A 15,133-nucleotide genomic window follows, 5' to 3' on the forward strand; every position below is an offset into this window, starting at 1 on the left:
TACATAAATAGTGATTAGACATAAACAGTTATACTTCTGAAGAGGACGCAGGAGGGGCTTTCTGTCTGCAGAAATTTCTAAATGCCCCTGGGGAGGCTGAGGTAGGTCGACCCCGGTGAATTTTGAAGTCCACTCTGGGTGGGGAGCTGGCCCGGGAGGCGCTGGGGAGTCTGTCCCCTGCTCGGCAGCTGTCCCTGGCCTAGGGCGCTCCTCCCCAAATTTTCCAAGGCTTCTTTTGGCTGCCAGGGATCTCACGGTTCCACTCACGCCTGCCAGGGAACCCCGAGGTGGGAATGCGACCCGAGGTGGACCCTGACGAGGCCTGGCGTCCTACCCGCCCGCCCGCGATCCGGATCCGTCCGGCTGGCTTTCACGCTGGTTGTCTAGCGACACCTGGCGGTCACCTTTATATATAGCAAGCTCTACCAGCGGGGGCGACGTGGGATTGGGTGGCCGGATGGTTAAACGGGATATTAGGTTATGGTGGGGGGTGGGGGGGCGTCCTGAGGTTTATAGTAGTAGTAGTAATAATATTCTTTTTATTATGTAATTTATAAATATAAATTGTCATAAATACACAAATAATATATACTTATGTAGATACTATAAATGTCATAGTACAAATATGCGTAATATATAGATTATATATTTTAGTAAATATTTATGTATAAATATTAAATCAGTAATTATAATTATTTGGTCCTTGCTGGGATTCATCATTATTGTAATTATTACCATTATTATAAATAGTAATTGTAGTAGTAGTAGTAATAGTAGCAGCTTTTTTTTTTTTTTTTTAAATAGCAACACTGAATAAACTGTCTCTGTCAAAGAAAGGTGATCAAGTGACTGGAGATAATAAAGAAGGGTTTCAGTCCGTGGGATTTAAAAAATCCACCCAAGAGCCTGGTGACGCTCTGACCCACAGTCTGTGAAGCAGCCAGCTGGAAACTGCATACAGCAACCCTAATGGTCAGGACTGCACTGACGGCTTCCCTCCTTTTTGCCCTTGCTTCCAACTTAGGACCAACAGGGAGAACCAAATAGGCACCCTCTTACCAGTCAGGTAGGATCCCCTGACTGGATACAGGAGATGGAAATAAATTGTTTAGGCAGATAGGGCAAAAGAGTCCTTGGCAGAACTCTAACAAAAAACATCCCAAGAAATCATTTCTTTCTAACAAAGAGCAGCCTGAAAGATGGAGCTGCAAACATAGATGAGGAAGCTGGAAGCTTGCAGGGGGGTGGGGGAGGCCTGCAGCTGCACTGATAAAAGGGACTACCTGGCGCCAGGCATGTCCACCATGGGGGGTTCACCTTCCCTAATTATTTTTTGTTGTTGTTAACACATGCACAGTAAGAAAGAAATAAGCAACATGGAGTAGCTACCCACGTGCGTAATAAAAGATTGGTGTGGGGGCGTCCAGAGATTCGTGCCCTATGCAGATGGCACACCTGGTCCTGTTTTTTCGCACCCGATGTAGATCAGACACTGCTCCCCACTAGCTCATCTATAAAAATCTTTGCATTCCACTGTGCATCAGCGACCTATTTTTCCGGGACCCCTCTCTGTAGCAGAGAGCTATTCTCTTTCTTTCACGTATTAAATTTCCACTCTTAACCTCACCCTTTGTGTGTCCTCGCCCTTGATCTCTGTGGCTGTGAGACAATGAACCTTGGGTGTCACCCCAGACAATGAGGCCACTTCACTAGCAGCCGCCTCTGGTGGCTGGCAACCCCATCAGGACTCCTCTTCCCCTTTTCCACCGCAGATTTCCCATTCCTCTCCCTGCCTTTGAGTCTCTGCCAAACATTATTGAGCTGCATGAAAGAACCTTAAATGCATATTACTAACTGAAAGAAACTGATCTGAAAAGGCTGCATACTGTAAGATTCCAACTCTGTCACATTCTGGAAAAGGCACAACCATGGAGACAGTAAGAAGAGCAGTGGTTGGCAGGGGTTGGGGGAGAGAGGGATGAACAGGCAGAGCACAGGGGATTTGCCGGACTGTGAAACTACTCTGTATGATATGACAGTGGTGGATATGGCATTAGACATCTGTTCAAACCCACAGAATGTACTGAGGACTAAACTGACATTTTTTCTCTCTTGCCCAAATTCCTATCTAAGGGGCCTGGGGAGTCATACCCTAGAAACTGACATCTCAACAGATGGGCTTTATTTAACCCTATATATAACACAGCTTTCTTTCCCACCTGACTCTCGTATAACATCATATGACAGATAAAGAAGGAAATAAAAATATTTTACCCCAAAATAGGATTTTTTTTGTGTATTTTGAAATGGCCCTGCAAAGCTGTCTCTTGTGGGGAAAATTTGCATCCGTAAAGAATCTCTATTACCATAACTAGCTCTTTTCCCTTCCAGGCCCTCCCAATCCTCTAGAGATTAGCTGAAAGTCTAGCACCTTTTAAAAGTCTGAATAGGAAATATTGGCCATCTATTGTCTCTAAGGGCGACCTCCATGAGACTTCATCTACATGGTAAGAACCTTGGTCTCCACAACCCCTTATCTTGACCCAGATACTCCTTTGTATTGATTGCAGGTTTTTAGATAATAACTGTTTCAATGAATTGCCAATCAGAAAATCTTTGAATCCACCTATGACCTGGAAGCCTTCCTCCCACCGACCCCCTTCGAGCTGTCCCACCTTTCTGGACTGAAGCAATGTACATCTCACATGTACTGATTAATGACTCATGTCTCCTTAAAGCGTATAAAACCAAACTGTAAAACAACTGCTTTGGGCACATGTTCTCAGGGCCTCTTGAGACTGACTGTACCTTGGGTCACTCACATTTGGCTCAGAATAAATCTCTTCAAATATTTTACAGAGTTTGGCTCTTTTCACTGACAATACAACACCAAGAGTGACCCTAATGTGAACCACAGACTTTGGGTGATAATGATGTGTTGGTGTGGGTTTAGCAGTAGTAACAAATGCGCCCTGCTGATGTGGGACATGGACAGTAGGGCAGGCTGTGCATGTGTGTGTGTGTATGTGTGTGTGTGTGTGTGCGCACGTGAGCACATGCGGGCCGGTGAGGGGTGTATATGAGAGCTCTCTGCACGCTCAGCTCAATTTTGCTGTGTAAGTATAGAAAAAATCTTTCCTCCACCCATCTAAGGTTTATTGCCTTGGCCCCACAAATTTAGACCAATGAAAGCCAGGTTAACAAGAGAAAACAACGCATTTATTAATTCATGCATCGCAAATACACATGGGAGAGCTCAGTGATAAGTAATAACTCAAAAAGGTGGTTAGAACTTGGGCTTATTAGCATCTTAATGAGAGAGCAATGTATTTGTAGAGAAGTGGAAAGACAAAGGAAGGGGACCTTGAGCTTCTTTGGATAACAAGTTGTGGGAAGGTAGATCTATGGGGGAAGCTGACAGATAAGGTTGATTTGGTGTGCTTGTGATGTTGATTTTTCTGGTGCTACCTCTGGGCTGGTAAGAGCCATCCTGCCCTTCTGGTAGATGGGGACAGGGCAGAGAGTTTGTCCTGTGTCTACTTGGTCTCAGTTGTCTTCAGCTCAAAATAATCTTTGTATCAGAGTGGCATATTTTGGGATGGCATACTCTAAGCCCCTTCAGCTGTGAATTCAAAACAACTCTAAAAAGTCAATTAAAAATTGTATTCCTATAACATGGCCCTTGCTGGTGGGGCTCAGGACACACCACCCCAAAATATGACAGTACAAAACCAGATATGTGAACACAAAATATACTTCTTAGGCAAATTTTGATCTTGTTATTCTAAGAAATTGCAGACACAGGAGTAGCTCTGAAAAACTGCCCTTTTGTAAAAGAAATTTATAACTATAAAAGAAATCTACATTAGTGAAGTATCTGTATCAGGAAGAGGGCTGGTTCCAGACAACTTCTATCACCCCAGAGACTTTTCTCTGCAGAACAAGACACCTTTTATTCACCAGACATTGCCTCCCCTCACCCTCCCAGAACTTGTGCCCATCCTCAGCAAGCCCCAAGCCCCTGTTCCTTTCTGTAACTCAGGACACTATCTAAGCTTCATTCATCTGGCCCTTCTCCTAGTCTATAGTTTGGGGGACTCCTGTGCATATAGATGTAATTAAAGTGGTGTTTCTCCTATTAGCTTTTCTTATGTCAATTTAATTCCTAGCCCAGCCAAAGAACCTAGAAGGGGAAGGGGAAGGGGAAGCCATTTTTCCCTCCACGACCTGCTTTTCAAGATCCCAGTTTGTTGGAACCACTTCAGAGTTAACCCTCTGTAAATACTTGTCAGTCCTCATCTTTTCAGTGTTTTCACCTGACATTCACTCTTTATTGCACTCTTACGTCTCCCAACAGGTTGCTCAAGAAACTCTCCCTTGCTGTGGACACTGCTGACTTCTGTAAAATACATTTACAGGAGGCCATTAGTTTGGACTGAGCTTCTGCACTAGGCCCAACAGACTGAGACGGAGCATGGACCCCTATTAGAGGCCTGCTGGGCCTCCTCCAGCATGGAAACAAAGGAAAATCTTGATTTCCTTCAAGGGAAATTCCAGGTACCTAGCTGGCCTTGAGAAGTAAATGAGCCACCTGATAAGCAAGAAGGGAATAATAGCTTCAAGTAACAGGCACTCAAGTAAGTCAGAGCCACAAGGTGTTTGGTCCCCTATTGAAACTAAAGATTACATCTTAGCATATGTCCATGAATGGTTTTTCAGAAACCCGGACCCACGTCAGATGGAAAATACTGACCATCATCACAGAGACCTCAGATGTCGGGGAGCTGAGGGCTGCACTCTGACGGCTGCTCTTTGTTGTAAATTTCTTTCTCAGGGGCCTGGAGAGAGTCATGCCCACAGGCCAGACCTTAACATTCCTTTCTGCTGACCCCAAGTTTTCGACAAAGCCTGGCTTCCTTAACCAATTGCAATCAAAGAATCCTGAAGCCGCCTATGACCTGTAAGCCCCTTGCTTCAAGAGCTTCCGCCTTTTTGGGCCAAACCAATGTATACCCTCTGCATTGATTTATGGTTTCCCTGTAACTTCTGCTTTCCTGAATTGTTCCCCTGCCTTTAAAATCCCTTGCTTGTAAGCCATCCAGGAGGTTGGGTCTGAAGTGTAAGCTGCCCCATTCTCCTTGCTTGGTGTCCTGCAAGTTAACACCCTCCTTTCTCCTGCTGCAAACCTCCGTGTGGGTGTTTGGTTTTACCACACGGGGCAAGCAGACCCAGGTTCAGTTCAGTAACAAGACCGGACTGGAATGGAGTTCCTTGCGCTAAAGTTCCACTTTTCCAAACCAAAACTAAGTTGTTTATCTGACCTTCTGAGAAGTCAGGACACAGAGAGATAAAAGGCAAATCTCCAACAGGCCAGGTTTAGCCAGAGTGATAAGCAGTCCTTCCCCTCTGCTTTAATGTTTACAAGGAAAGTAACTTTGCAACCAATCTATGCTTTGTTCTTTGCTTCCACTTCAGCCTTTTCTATCCATAAAGCCCATCTCCCCCACTCTGCTTGGAGGAACGCTCAGTCTGTTTTATGGAATGAAGTGTTGCCTGATTCTAGAATAGCAAATAAAGCCAATTAGGATCTTTAAACTAAATCTGTTGTACTTTTGTCTTTTGACAGTTCCATGATGGAAAATCTAATGGCCACTTTCCATTACCACATCCCAGGAGCAGTCCAGGTAAGTGGCTCCTTTTGTTTCTGGGGTCCATCTCGCTCCTGGCTCTTGACGCCGATGCTTCTCCTTCTCCTCCTGCATTTCTTGTGCTCCTCCCCAAGGTTTGCCAGCGCGCTCACAACCCTTGCTTGGGATTTAAAATCTGAAGTGCGTCATAACTCACCCCTGGACTCTGTTATTCTTTTATTGGTATGCCAGAAAAAAAGAACCCCAAGCTCTCTGGGTGACCAAATTGATATTTAAAGCATTAATTATTAACTCTATTCTTACAACCTCCAGATTTTATCTCCACTCAGAATTATATGTACAGCTGCCTAGCTGATTTCCAGACTGAAATGCCTCTTTGACATTACAGATTAAAACTGATCCCACTCTATTGTCCAGGTCATCTTCCTTGACTTGGCTGTGACCCAGACTTACTGTCTAAATAAATGGTGTGACGGCTCACCTAGGGACCCCAATCCAGACTCTAGGAGAGTTTCTTCAGCCTGTATCCCCCCATGTCATGAATAATCCATTACCGAGTCCTGTTCGTTCTTCCTATACATCTCTCCAAAGGCTTCCCTCCATTTCCACAATGACCCCAACTGTTTCACCACTCGCTCCTCAAAGAACCTCTGGATTTGTTTCTAGCTTTTGGCTATGAGGAATAAGCCTGCTGAGAACATTCAGCTCCAGGATTTTGTGTGAATGTAAGTGCTTTAGTGGTGGGGCGGGACCCTGCAGGCCATCCCTGGGTTGGATGATTCTCTAGAGGGACCCAGAGAACTCCACCAAGCTGACCTAAGGCCCTGAAAGTCAAACAGATACCGCATGGCCCAATGCCTGCACCATAGCTCACTTGTTGGAATAAACTGCCTAAGAAAAATGGGGGTACGTGGTTACATTATCAGAGGCATCCCAGGTGGATCCTGGAGACATGGACAGTACCCGTAGTCACGAAGCTGACAGCTGGAAGAAGCCCATCTGGTTCAACCCCTGTCTGGCATATTCCTTCCTTCTCCATCCTCACTTTCTACCCCTCACAGGGACAGAGAATTTACAGCTTACCGAGCCAGGCCATTGCACTTTTGGACAACTCTACTAAATGGATTTTCCTCATGCCATTGCATAACTGCTACCTGCCACCAGAGCCTCAGAAATACATGGTTTTCCATCAAGCACTCATGGAACATGTAACTGTGGGCGCTTCTAGGGCGGTTCATGATGGATCCTCCAAGATCAACTAAATATAAAACAAGCTCCCAGGTAACAGAACCATTTCAGCTGTTAAATAAAATCATCTGTATTAACCTAGTTTAATTATGAGGGACATCTCTCCCAACATAATATATATATATATAATAAATATATACATATATAATATATAATAAATAAATATATATAATAAATATATTATATATATATATATATATATTTTTTTTTTTTGAGACAGGGTCTCACTCTGTCACCCAGGCTGGAGTGCAGTGGTGCCATCACAGCTCACTGCAGCCTCAACCTCCTGGGCTCAAGCAATCCTCCCACCTCAGCTTCCTGAGTAGCTGGGACTATAGATGAATGCCATTATGCCCGGCTAATTTTTTAAAAACTTTTTGTAGAGGCAGGGTTTCGCCATGTTTCCCAGGCTGGTCTCCAACACTAGGGCTCAAGCAATTTGCCTGCCTTGGCCTCCCAAAGTATTGAAATTACAGCATGAGCCACTGTGCCTCCAACATACTCATAATTTTTTTAAAAGAATAGTTGGTATTTGGGGGCTGGGTACAGTGGCTCACACCTGTAATCCCAGCACTTTGGGAGGCAGAGGCAGGTGGATCACTTCAGGTCAGGGTAGTTCGAGACCAGCCTGGGCAACATGGTGAAACCCATCTCTACTAAAAGTACAAAAATTAGCCAGGCGTGGCACACACCTGTAGTCCCAGCTACTTGGGAGGCTGAGGCGAGTGGATTGCTTGAACCCGGGAGTCAGAAGTTGCAGTGAGTGGAGATCGTGCCACTGCACTCCAGCCTGGGTGACAGAGCAAGACTCCATAAAAAATAAATAGTTGGTATTTGAGCCTTTCTTTCTGAAAATGATTGATAATGGCCCCATTCATCTGTTGAGGTTTTATATGAAAACAAAACCTTATACCGTTGTGTGGAGAAAGGTGCTGACTGTCCTCTTTGTGGTGGGGTGAATATGGCTTCAGCACACCCAGCAGCTGTTTTGGGTTCTCAAGAAGGGAGGCCCAAAGTAGTCCAATCGTAATAGGGTCTCTCAGAAACCCAGCCCAGCTACTCCCCTCCCTCAAGGGAGTTTGTGACCTTGCTACTCACAGCGTGGTCCATGCATCAGCAGCACTGGGGTCACCTGAAGTTTGTGTGAAATGTGGCATTCCAGGCCTGCTGCACCACGTGCATCAAAGCACACACGTTCTTCCTATTGCTGAGAGGGAGGAGGGACGGCAGCACAGGAGCAAAGCCATCACTGTGATTGCGGTTAGGGACAGTGCCAGAGCACCCAGCCCCGAGCCCCACCACCACCACCCCTTGTCCTTAATTACAGAATTCACTTGAAATTAAAAATCCCCGCTCCCTAAATACCCACCCTCTCCTCTGGCTTTCTTTTTAGCTGAGGCAGCTGCTCTCGCCTCTTCTTTCACTCGCTCCTGGCAGCACAGCAATCTCTGCAAGTTACTTGGACCCTCAGGACTCCTTGTTCAAGTGCAATGGAGGACCATGCAGATGGCAGGGAAAACCAAAGAAAGCTCAGGTGGCCCATCATGGCTGTCATCGGTGGAAGAACGTCTCTATTTAACACTGAACCTTAGTAATGACATGCTCTCCCCTTGTCCTGGACCTTCATTTTGAAATAGAGCATTCGGGTGGGAGGGGAACCACGGGGGCATTTCAATCCTGAACCTGCTCTGGGCGGTGGCTCTAGCCTTTGGGATTTTGTGCTCATTTACAGTTTTTTGAGATGGAATCTTGCTCTGTCTCCCAGGCTGGAGTGCAGTGGTATAATCTTGGCTCAGTGCAACCTCCATCTCCTGGGTTCAAGCAATTCTCCTGCCTCAGCTTCCTGAGTAGCTGGGATTACAGGTTCACGCCACCATGCCCAGCTAATTTTTGTATTTTTAGTAGAGATGGGGTTTCACCATGTTGGCCGGGCTGGTCTCAAACTCTTGACCTCAAGTGATCCACCTGTCTCGGCCTCCCGAAGTGTTGGGATTACAGGCGTGAGCCACCACGCCTGGTCTGTCCTCATTTACTTAAAGAGCCATTACTCACCCCCAATTCCCCATAGATAGTGGCCAACTTCTTTGAAATCTGGAGACATTTTCAAATGCTCAACCCTTTTTTCAGCAATTCTATCTGTTTCTAAAATAAGTGTCACTCAGGATGGATATGCTTTTAGAGAAACACTGTGACAAAGACCCTTTGCTCCAGAGGAAGGACCTGCAGTGGCCCCAGGCTGTGGCTCCAGCATCACTTGAGACAGTGTGAACATTTGGACACAATTAAAATGAGGACACTTAATCAAAGAACACACTTACAAAGGAAAGGGGCAGGAAAGCCAGGAGGCAGCAGGTGTGGGACCCCACATGGGACAGGCAGCTGTGTGTTGTTGGTACCACCTTCCTGCCATGGCTTTCCTACACCAGCAGAGAGAAAGCCCATTTCTGCTCTCTGCTGCAAGACTCTCTGGATGGAAGGCCCAGTTCCACAGGAAAGAAATCCTGGTGGCTGAGGCGTGCCTGTGCATAGCCTGGATGGCTCGGCCTGTGGCCGGCAGGCACCCAGGGCCCCTGGTGGGGGTCTCACCCGCTTGGGATGGCCTCAGCTCCCAGGCTGCAGCCACCACTGCCATTTCAAAGGTGAGAAGGAACTGTCTGTGTGGGCCTCTCATCCCGCAAAGTGAGGGAGGCGGGAGCTGGGTGGTGCAGGGAATTAGGAAAGGCAAACCTGGGACGTGCTGTGCCCTGCAGTGCAGTTTCCAGAGGGGAGCAGCCCGGGGTGGCAGACGTTTGCATTTGGATGTTAGAAATGCTCTTCCTGGCTGGGCATAGTGGCTCATGCCTGTAATCCCAGCACTTTGGGAGGCCAAGGCAGGCAGATCATGAGGTCAGGAGAGCGAGACAATCCTGGCTAACATGGTGAAACGCCATCTCTACTAAAAATAAAAAAAATTAGCCAGACGTGGTGGCGGGCACCTGTAGTCCCAGCTACTCGGGAGGCTGAGGCAGGAGAATGGCGTGAACCCAGGAGGTGGAGCTTGCAGTGAGCTGAGATCGCGCCACTGCACTCCAGCCTGGGTGACAGAGCGAGACTCCGTCTCAAAAAAAAAAAAAAGACAAATGCTCTTCCTGACTTTTCAGAGCTGACTGAAGCCCCCGTTTCTTGGCCTGTGTCTTTTCCTTGCCTTGGGGTCCACATTAACCAACTATATTCAATCAACAAGCTTAACACTGAGAATCAAGAGAAGCCCAGGATCTGGGGAGCCCGGGACCCCCTTCATCATCCACTGTGCTTGGGATGGGGCTCCTCTTGTTCTCCTGCCCCAAAGGAGCTGGCACACCAAGCGATGCTTCCAATTGTCCACTGCCTTTATGGGAAGGGACAGCGGTCTCTCCTTGGTGCCAGTGTTAGAAGGAAGAATTGATGCTCACTCGGTCCTGCTGTGTGTGGGAGTCTCCTCTGCACCCCACCCTATCTTGTCACTCGTCACCACTGGGTTGAGCAATACCAGACTTTGTTTCCAGGCTTTGTTTCCTGGCCCTTGACAATAAACAGAACAGTGTCCCTCAGCCTTTCACACCACATAGACCCCTCAGGATGAGGGGCTGCTCAAGCAGCTCCCACTGATGCTGGGCCTTGGGAAGAGGGGGCCAGTGGGGAGGGCCCTCCCCTGAGCTGAGAGGTCCCTTTATAAAGGCAAGTCCAAGCCCCAGAGATTTGGGGGTCAGCAGGGGAGAGAGCAGGGCTGAAGGCGTAGAGGGGGCACCCTGCACTTTATACCTGGGGCAATGCAACAACAAAGGTGCCAGGTATGTGGACACACACCTAGAGGAAGAGTGCTGTGCACCCTCAAAGCCTGGTCTGAGGATCAGCAAACCAGCCCCTCTGGGAAGGTTGTTGGAAAGGCCAACTCTCAAGCCCCTCCCCACCCCTGATGCACCAGAACCTTCAGTCTGACCTAGCCCTGGGTGACTCCCCTGCTCCCGAGGTCTGGGACGAGCTGCCTGCAGCACTGGCTCTCAATCTGCCTGATTGTCAGCACCATCTGGAGAGCCAGAGAAATTCTGAAAAGACAGATCTCTGGGCGCTTCCATCCCTGGGATTGTGACTCAGTAAGTAAGGGGTGAAGCACAATAATTCATATCTATGTTTTTAAAGCTCCTCCAGCATTCTGGATGCTTAGCCAGCCTGGGGACCCTCTCTCTGCTCTTCGGGTATCTTACAGGTAAGAAAGATGTCATTGTAAGCTTTTACCCTTGGAAACACATTCATTCCAAACATATCAAAAGAACTTATTAGGCCGTGTGTGGTGGCTTATGCCTGTAATCCCAGAGCTTTGGGAGGCCCAGGTGGGCGGATCGCTTGAGCCCAGGAATTTGAGAACAGCCTGGACCTCCTTGACTTCTGGGGAGTTTATGAGGGACCTGGACACTGTCAGAGTGGTTTTTTGTTTCCCTTTGTGTACAGTTTTGAGTTCATTGTTTATGTATTAGGGTTTGGAATAGGATCATATAAATATTTCAGGTCCTAAAATAGCTGTGACAGTGTCACTAATCTGCCCCTGAGCTGAACATCCACCCCTCCGCCGCCATTTAATCCTCCAGTCATGTGAGGGAGGATGGGAGTCTGTGTGAACGTCATTCTCACTCGCCTTCAAAGATCATATCTGCCTGTCTCATCTGTCAAGAACGTAGAGTTTGTTGTGATGGTGTATTCAAAATAGACGAAACGTGTGGTCATTGTACTTGGCAAACAGCTTTTCACGTCAGGATGTTTCTGCCCCCGGCTCAGGGCTGGTCCGACTGTGTGAAGAATGTGGCTCAGTGCAGGTGCCCAGTCTGCCACCCTCAGTCCCGCAGCTGCAGTGTTAGAATAACTGTGCTGTGGGCACCCAGCGTTGGTGACATGGGGAATGTGGAATAATGAATACTTAATTCACATGTGCTTATAGAAAAAACTTTATACAATAAAAATAACCAATTGTTATATTTACATCTTTTTCTGTCACTATATATAAAAGGAATCAAGAATTTTCATGCAGCTTCCGGGTATTCTTGAGACTGGTATATCATTTCTTTTTGAAAAGTGCATTATTGCATAACACCACCTAGATAAATATATTTTTATGTATTTATAAGTATATTTTAGCTCAAAAATATCAATAGTATACATAGCTTATAGCACAGTTTGGGAAATGCTGATGTATATGGTAATAATGCGTTGTTTGGGATGATTTAAAATTATATCAGGATATTAGGAGCCCAATATAGTGATCCAGATTGAGATCCTCTTGTCTAGTATTCTTTAAAATGGCAAAACATCAAATCTAGAAAATAGATAAGAAATGAATTTTAAGATAAAAGTACAACAGATTTTCTATTTTTACAAAAATCATTATTGATTTTCAAAAATATATTTTAGAATTCAAGCTGTTAATTTAAAAAGTGCTTATTTCATCATATAACGAACAAAACTGGATATAAGAAAAAACGCCTCGTCTTGCTGTCTCCAAATCTTGCAGCTTTTCAAAGTTTCAGAATTTTGTAAAATATTTTGAATAGCCCAGACTTTCTGAAAATCGGCGTAGCCTTTCAAAGTATTAGAATTGAGAAGCTTTTAAATGCCAATCTTATTTTATAAAGTGTTGACTTTTCACTGTAGACTAATAGCGAACAGTTTGTAAAGAAATGTAAATAAAAAATGTAAATAAATAAAATAGGCTTATTAGTTTTCAAAAAATTTATTTAAAAGGAAGGGGCAATGTTGATTGGAGTGAGGAAGTATTTGAAAATGTATTTTGTGAAAGAAATCAACGCACACGCACACACACATGCCTCAAAAGCGAAACTCCAACAATGCAGCTGCTGTTCCTTTGCAGCAATATTTATCTCACCTTGAGTGAGTGAGGGCCATGCTGCTTGGAAGCGTAATAACTTAAACACCTTGCCTATGTCTAGGGATTAAAAACTAAGCTCTACTCAGCTCATGTAATGCCCCTGACCTCCACCAGAGAGAGATTCTTGGTTATTCCTTGTGGGCAAATATGTCCATGGATCAGTGGATCAGGGACTGTTGAATCAGATATGTCTCCCTCTCTACATGTCACGGTTTGTAGAGATCAAAAATTTCCCTGAAAACACCCAGGTTTATGAAGCCAGGTGATCAGCCAGTTCTGAGGCCTAACTAGGGAGGCCAGAATCCTGCTTGCAGGACAGGGCTGGGTTGGGGATGTCTGTGGTGATGTCATCTCCAGCTGTGAGCTCCAGGGCAATGCTGTCTGGGATGAAGGTCTGGGGCACCCTGAGCTCCTGGAGAAACGGGTGCAGTTAAGAGCTCTATGAAGATTGTATGTGGTGGCAACGCTGCTGGGATACCCCGTGGGTAGCCTAGAGAAGAAGTACTGTGTCCCATTGCAGGTGAAGGTGAATTAAGGCAGAGAGGCTATTGAAATAGGCACTGAACAGAACATGATAGCCGAATCTATAACAGCAAAATATTTACCAGTTGTTGATTGGATGGGGTCAGTAAGTTCCATAATACTGGGTGTTGGGTATGGGGTCTTAATGAAAGGATTACAATGTTAAGGTTGTAGTAATCCACTGTGAAGCACCATTTATTTTTTTCCAGGCTTAAGCACAGGCAAGACTGAGCTGTCAAATGGAGAAGCAGTAGAGAGAATCACCCTTTTATTAATTAGGTTTTATATATTAAGTTTTAAACTTGAAGGTCCTGTACATCTGAATTGTGTCTCTCCCAAAATTACATACTGAAGCCCTTACCCCAGTACCTCAGAATGTGCCTGAATTTACAGATACAGCCTTTAAAGGGAGTGGTTAAGTTAAAGTGAGACCATTAAGGTGGGCCCTAATCCAACATGACAGGTGTCGCTATAAAAGAAGAAATCTGGAGACATAAAGAGACCTCAGTGCTGGGTGTGCTCATAGGAAAGGTCATCCCAGGTCGGGAGAGAGGCCTCAGAGAAACCAAATACCCCGCACCTTGGTCTTGGAATTCCAGCCTCCAGAACAGTGAGAAAATAAATTTCTATTGTTAAAGTCACCCAGTGTCTGGTAGCCCTAGCAGACTAACACATCTTGCTATAACTTACGTAGAGTCATATTAACTATTTTAACTGGGGACCTGCAAGGTCCAATTTACCTCATAATTATAGCAATATTAACTATTTTTACTGGGGACCTCCAAGGTCCAAGCCAATTTGTAGGTGCCAAAGACTTAATTGAATCATACATATTACTCATTGTGTTAGAGCATGTTTTAGGGCAATGAGTATTATGCTTATGAGAAATTTAGGCAAAGCTACAGTTAAAATAAAGCATGGCTATTTTTCCTCTATAGTTATTTTGCCAGGATCACAGGCATTGCAGTGTTTAAATTTAGTGAGATTCCCAGGTATAACTGTAATTTGAGTCCCAGCATTGACTAAGTTCATGAAGCTTTGTCAATTGGTGCATTTGTTAATCTGGAGCCCATGCTGCACAGGCACAAAAGCCAATCACGGCCCCTTTTATCTCTTTGTTATATAAATCCTTATAGTAAATTTTGTGTTTCCAATTGGGTCAAGTTATGGACCTTTGTTTTATTACATATTTATGTTACTGGGAAGGGGCACTGTTCCAGACCCCAAGAGAGAATTCTTGGATCTCGTGCAAGAAAGAATTCGAGGCAAATCCATAAAGTGAAAGCAAGTTTATTAGAGAAAGTAAAGGAATAAAACAATGGCGACTCCAGTGGCCAAGCACGGTGGCTCATACCTGTAATCCCAGCACTTTGGGAGGCTGAGGAGGCAGGCGGATCACCTGAAGTTGGGAGTTTGAGACCAGCCTGATCAACATGGAGAAACCCCGTCTCTACCAAAAATATTAAAATTAGCTGGGTGTGGTGGCAGGCACCTGTATTCCCAGCTACTCAGGAGTCTGAGGCAGGAGAAGCACTTGAACCCAGGAGATGGAGGCTGCAGTGAGCTGAGATCGCACCATTGCACTCCAGCCTGGGCAACAAGAGTGAAACTCTGTCTCAATAATAATAATAACAATAATAATAAAAGAATGGCCACTCCATAGGCAGAGCAGTGGAATGGGGTGCTCAACTGCTTGTACTTATTGTTACTTTTTGCTTATATACCAAACAAGGGGTGTATTATCCATGAGTTTTCCAGGAAAGGTGTGGGCAATTCCTGGAATTGAGTGTTCCTCCCCCTTTTAGACGGTATAGGATAA

The 15,133-nt window shown here is 45.5% G+C and overlaps 1 long non-coding RNA gene across 6 annotated transcripts, besides 1 other annotated feature; it reads left to right on the forward strand.

The window, feature by feature from the left end:
• The first annotated feature begins 787 nt into the window (after positions 1–787).
• On the forward strand, positions 788–8,494 carry LOC105371589 (uncharacterized). Of its 6 annotated transcripts, none has more exons than XR_007065665.1 (5): positions 788–4,637; positions 5,627–5,684; positions 6,315–6,373; positions 6,710–6,929; positions 8,290–8,494. It is a non-coding gene; the product is annotated as an uncharacterized LOC105371589 (long non-coding RNA). The 6 variants fall into 6 exon arrangements; XR_934331.3 differs by having other exon boundaries at positions 4,470–4,557; XR_007065666.1 differs by lacking the exon at positions 788–4,637 and adding an exon at positions 4,881–4,960.
• Positions 9,503–10,003: an enhancer, noted in NCBI's record as "H3K4me1 hESC enhancer chr17:21425539-21426039 (GRCh37/hg19 assembly coordinates)". NCBI's record gives its function as "activates a minimal SCP1, AML or CMV promoter by ChIP-STARR-seq in primed H9 embryonic stem cells {active_cell/tissue: H9 hESC(primed)}" and the evidence as "EXISTENCE:reporter gene assay evidence [ECO:0000049][PMID:30033119]".

The sequence above is a fragment of the Homo sapiens genome, chromosome 17, assembly GCF_000001405.40.
Source record: "Homo sapiens chromosome 17, GRCh38.p14 Primary Assembly".
Lineage (NCBI taxonomy): Eukaryota > Metazoa > Chordata > Mammalia > Primates > Hominidae > Homo > Homo sapiens.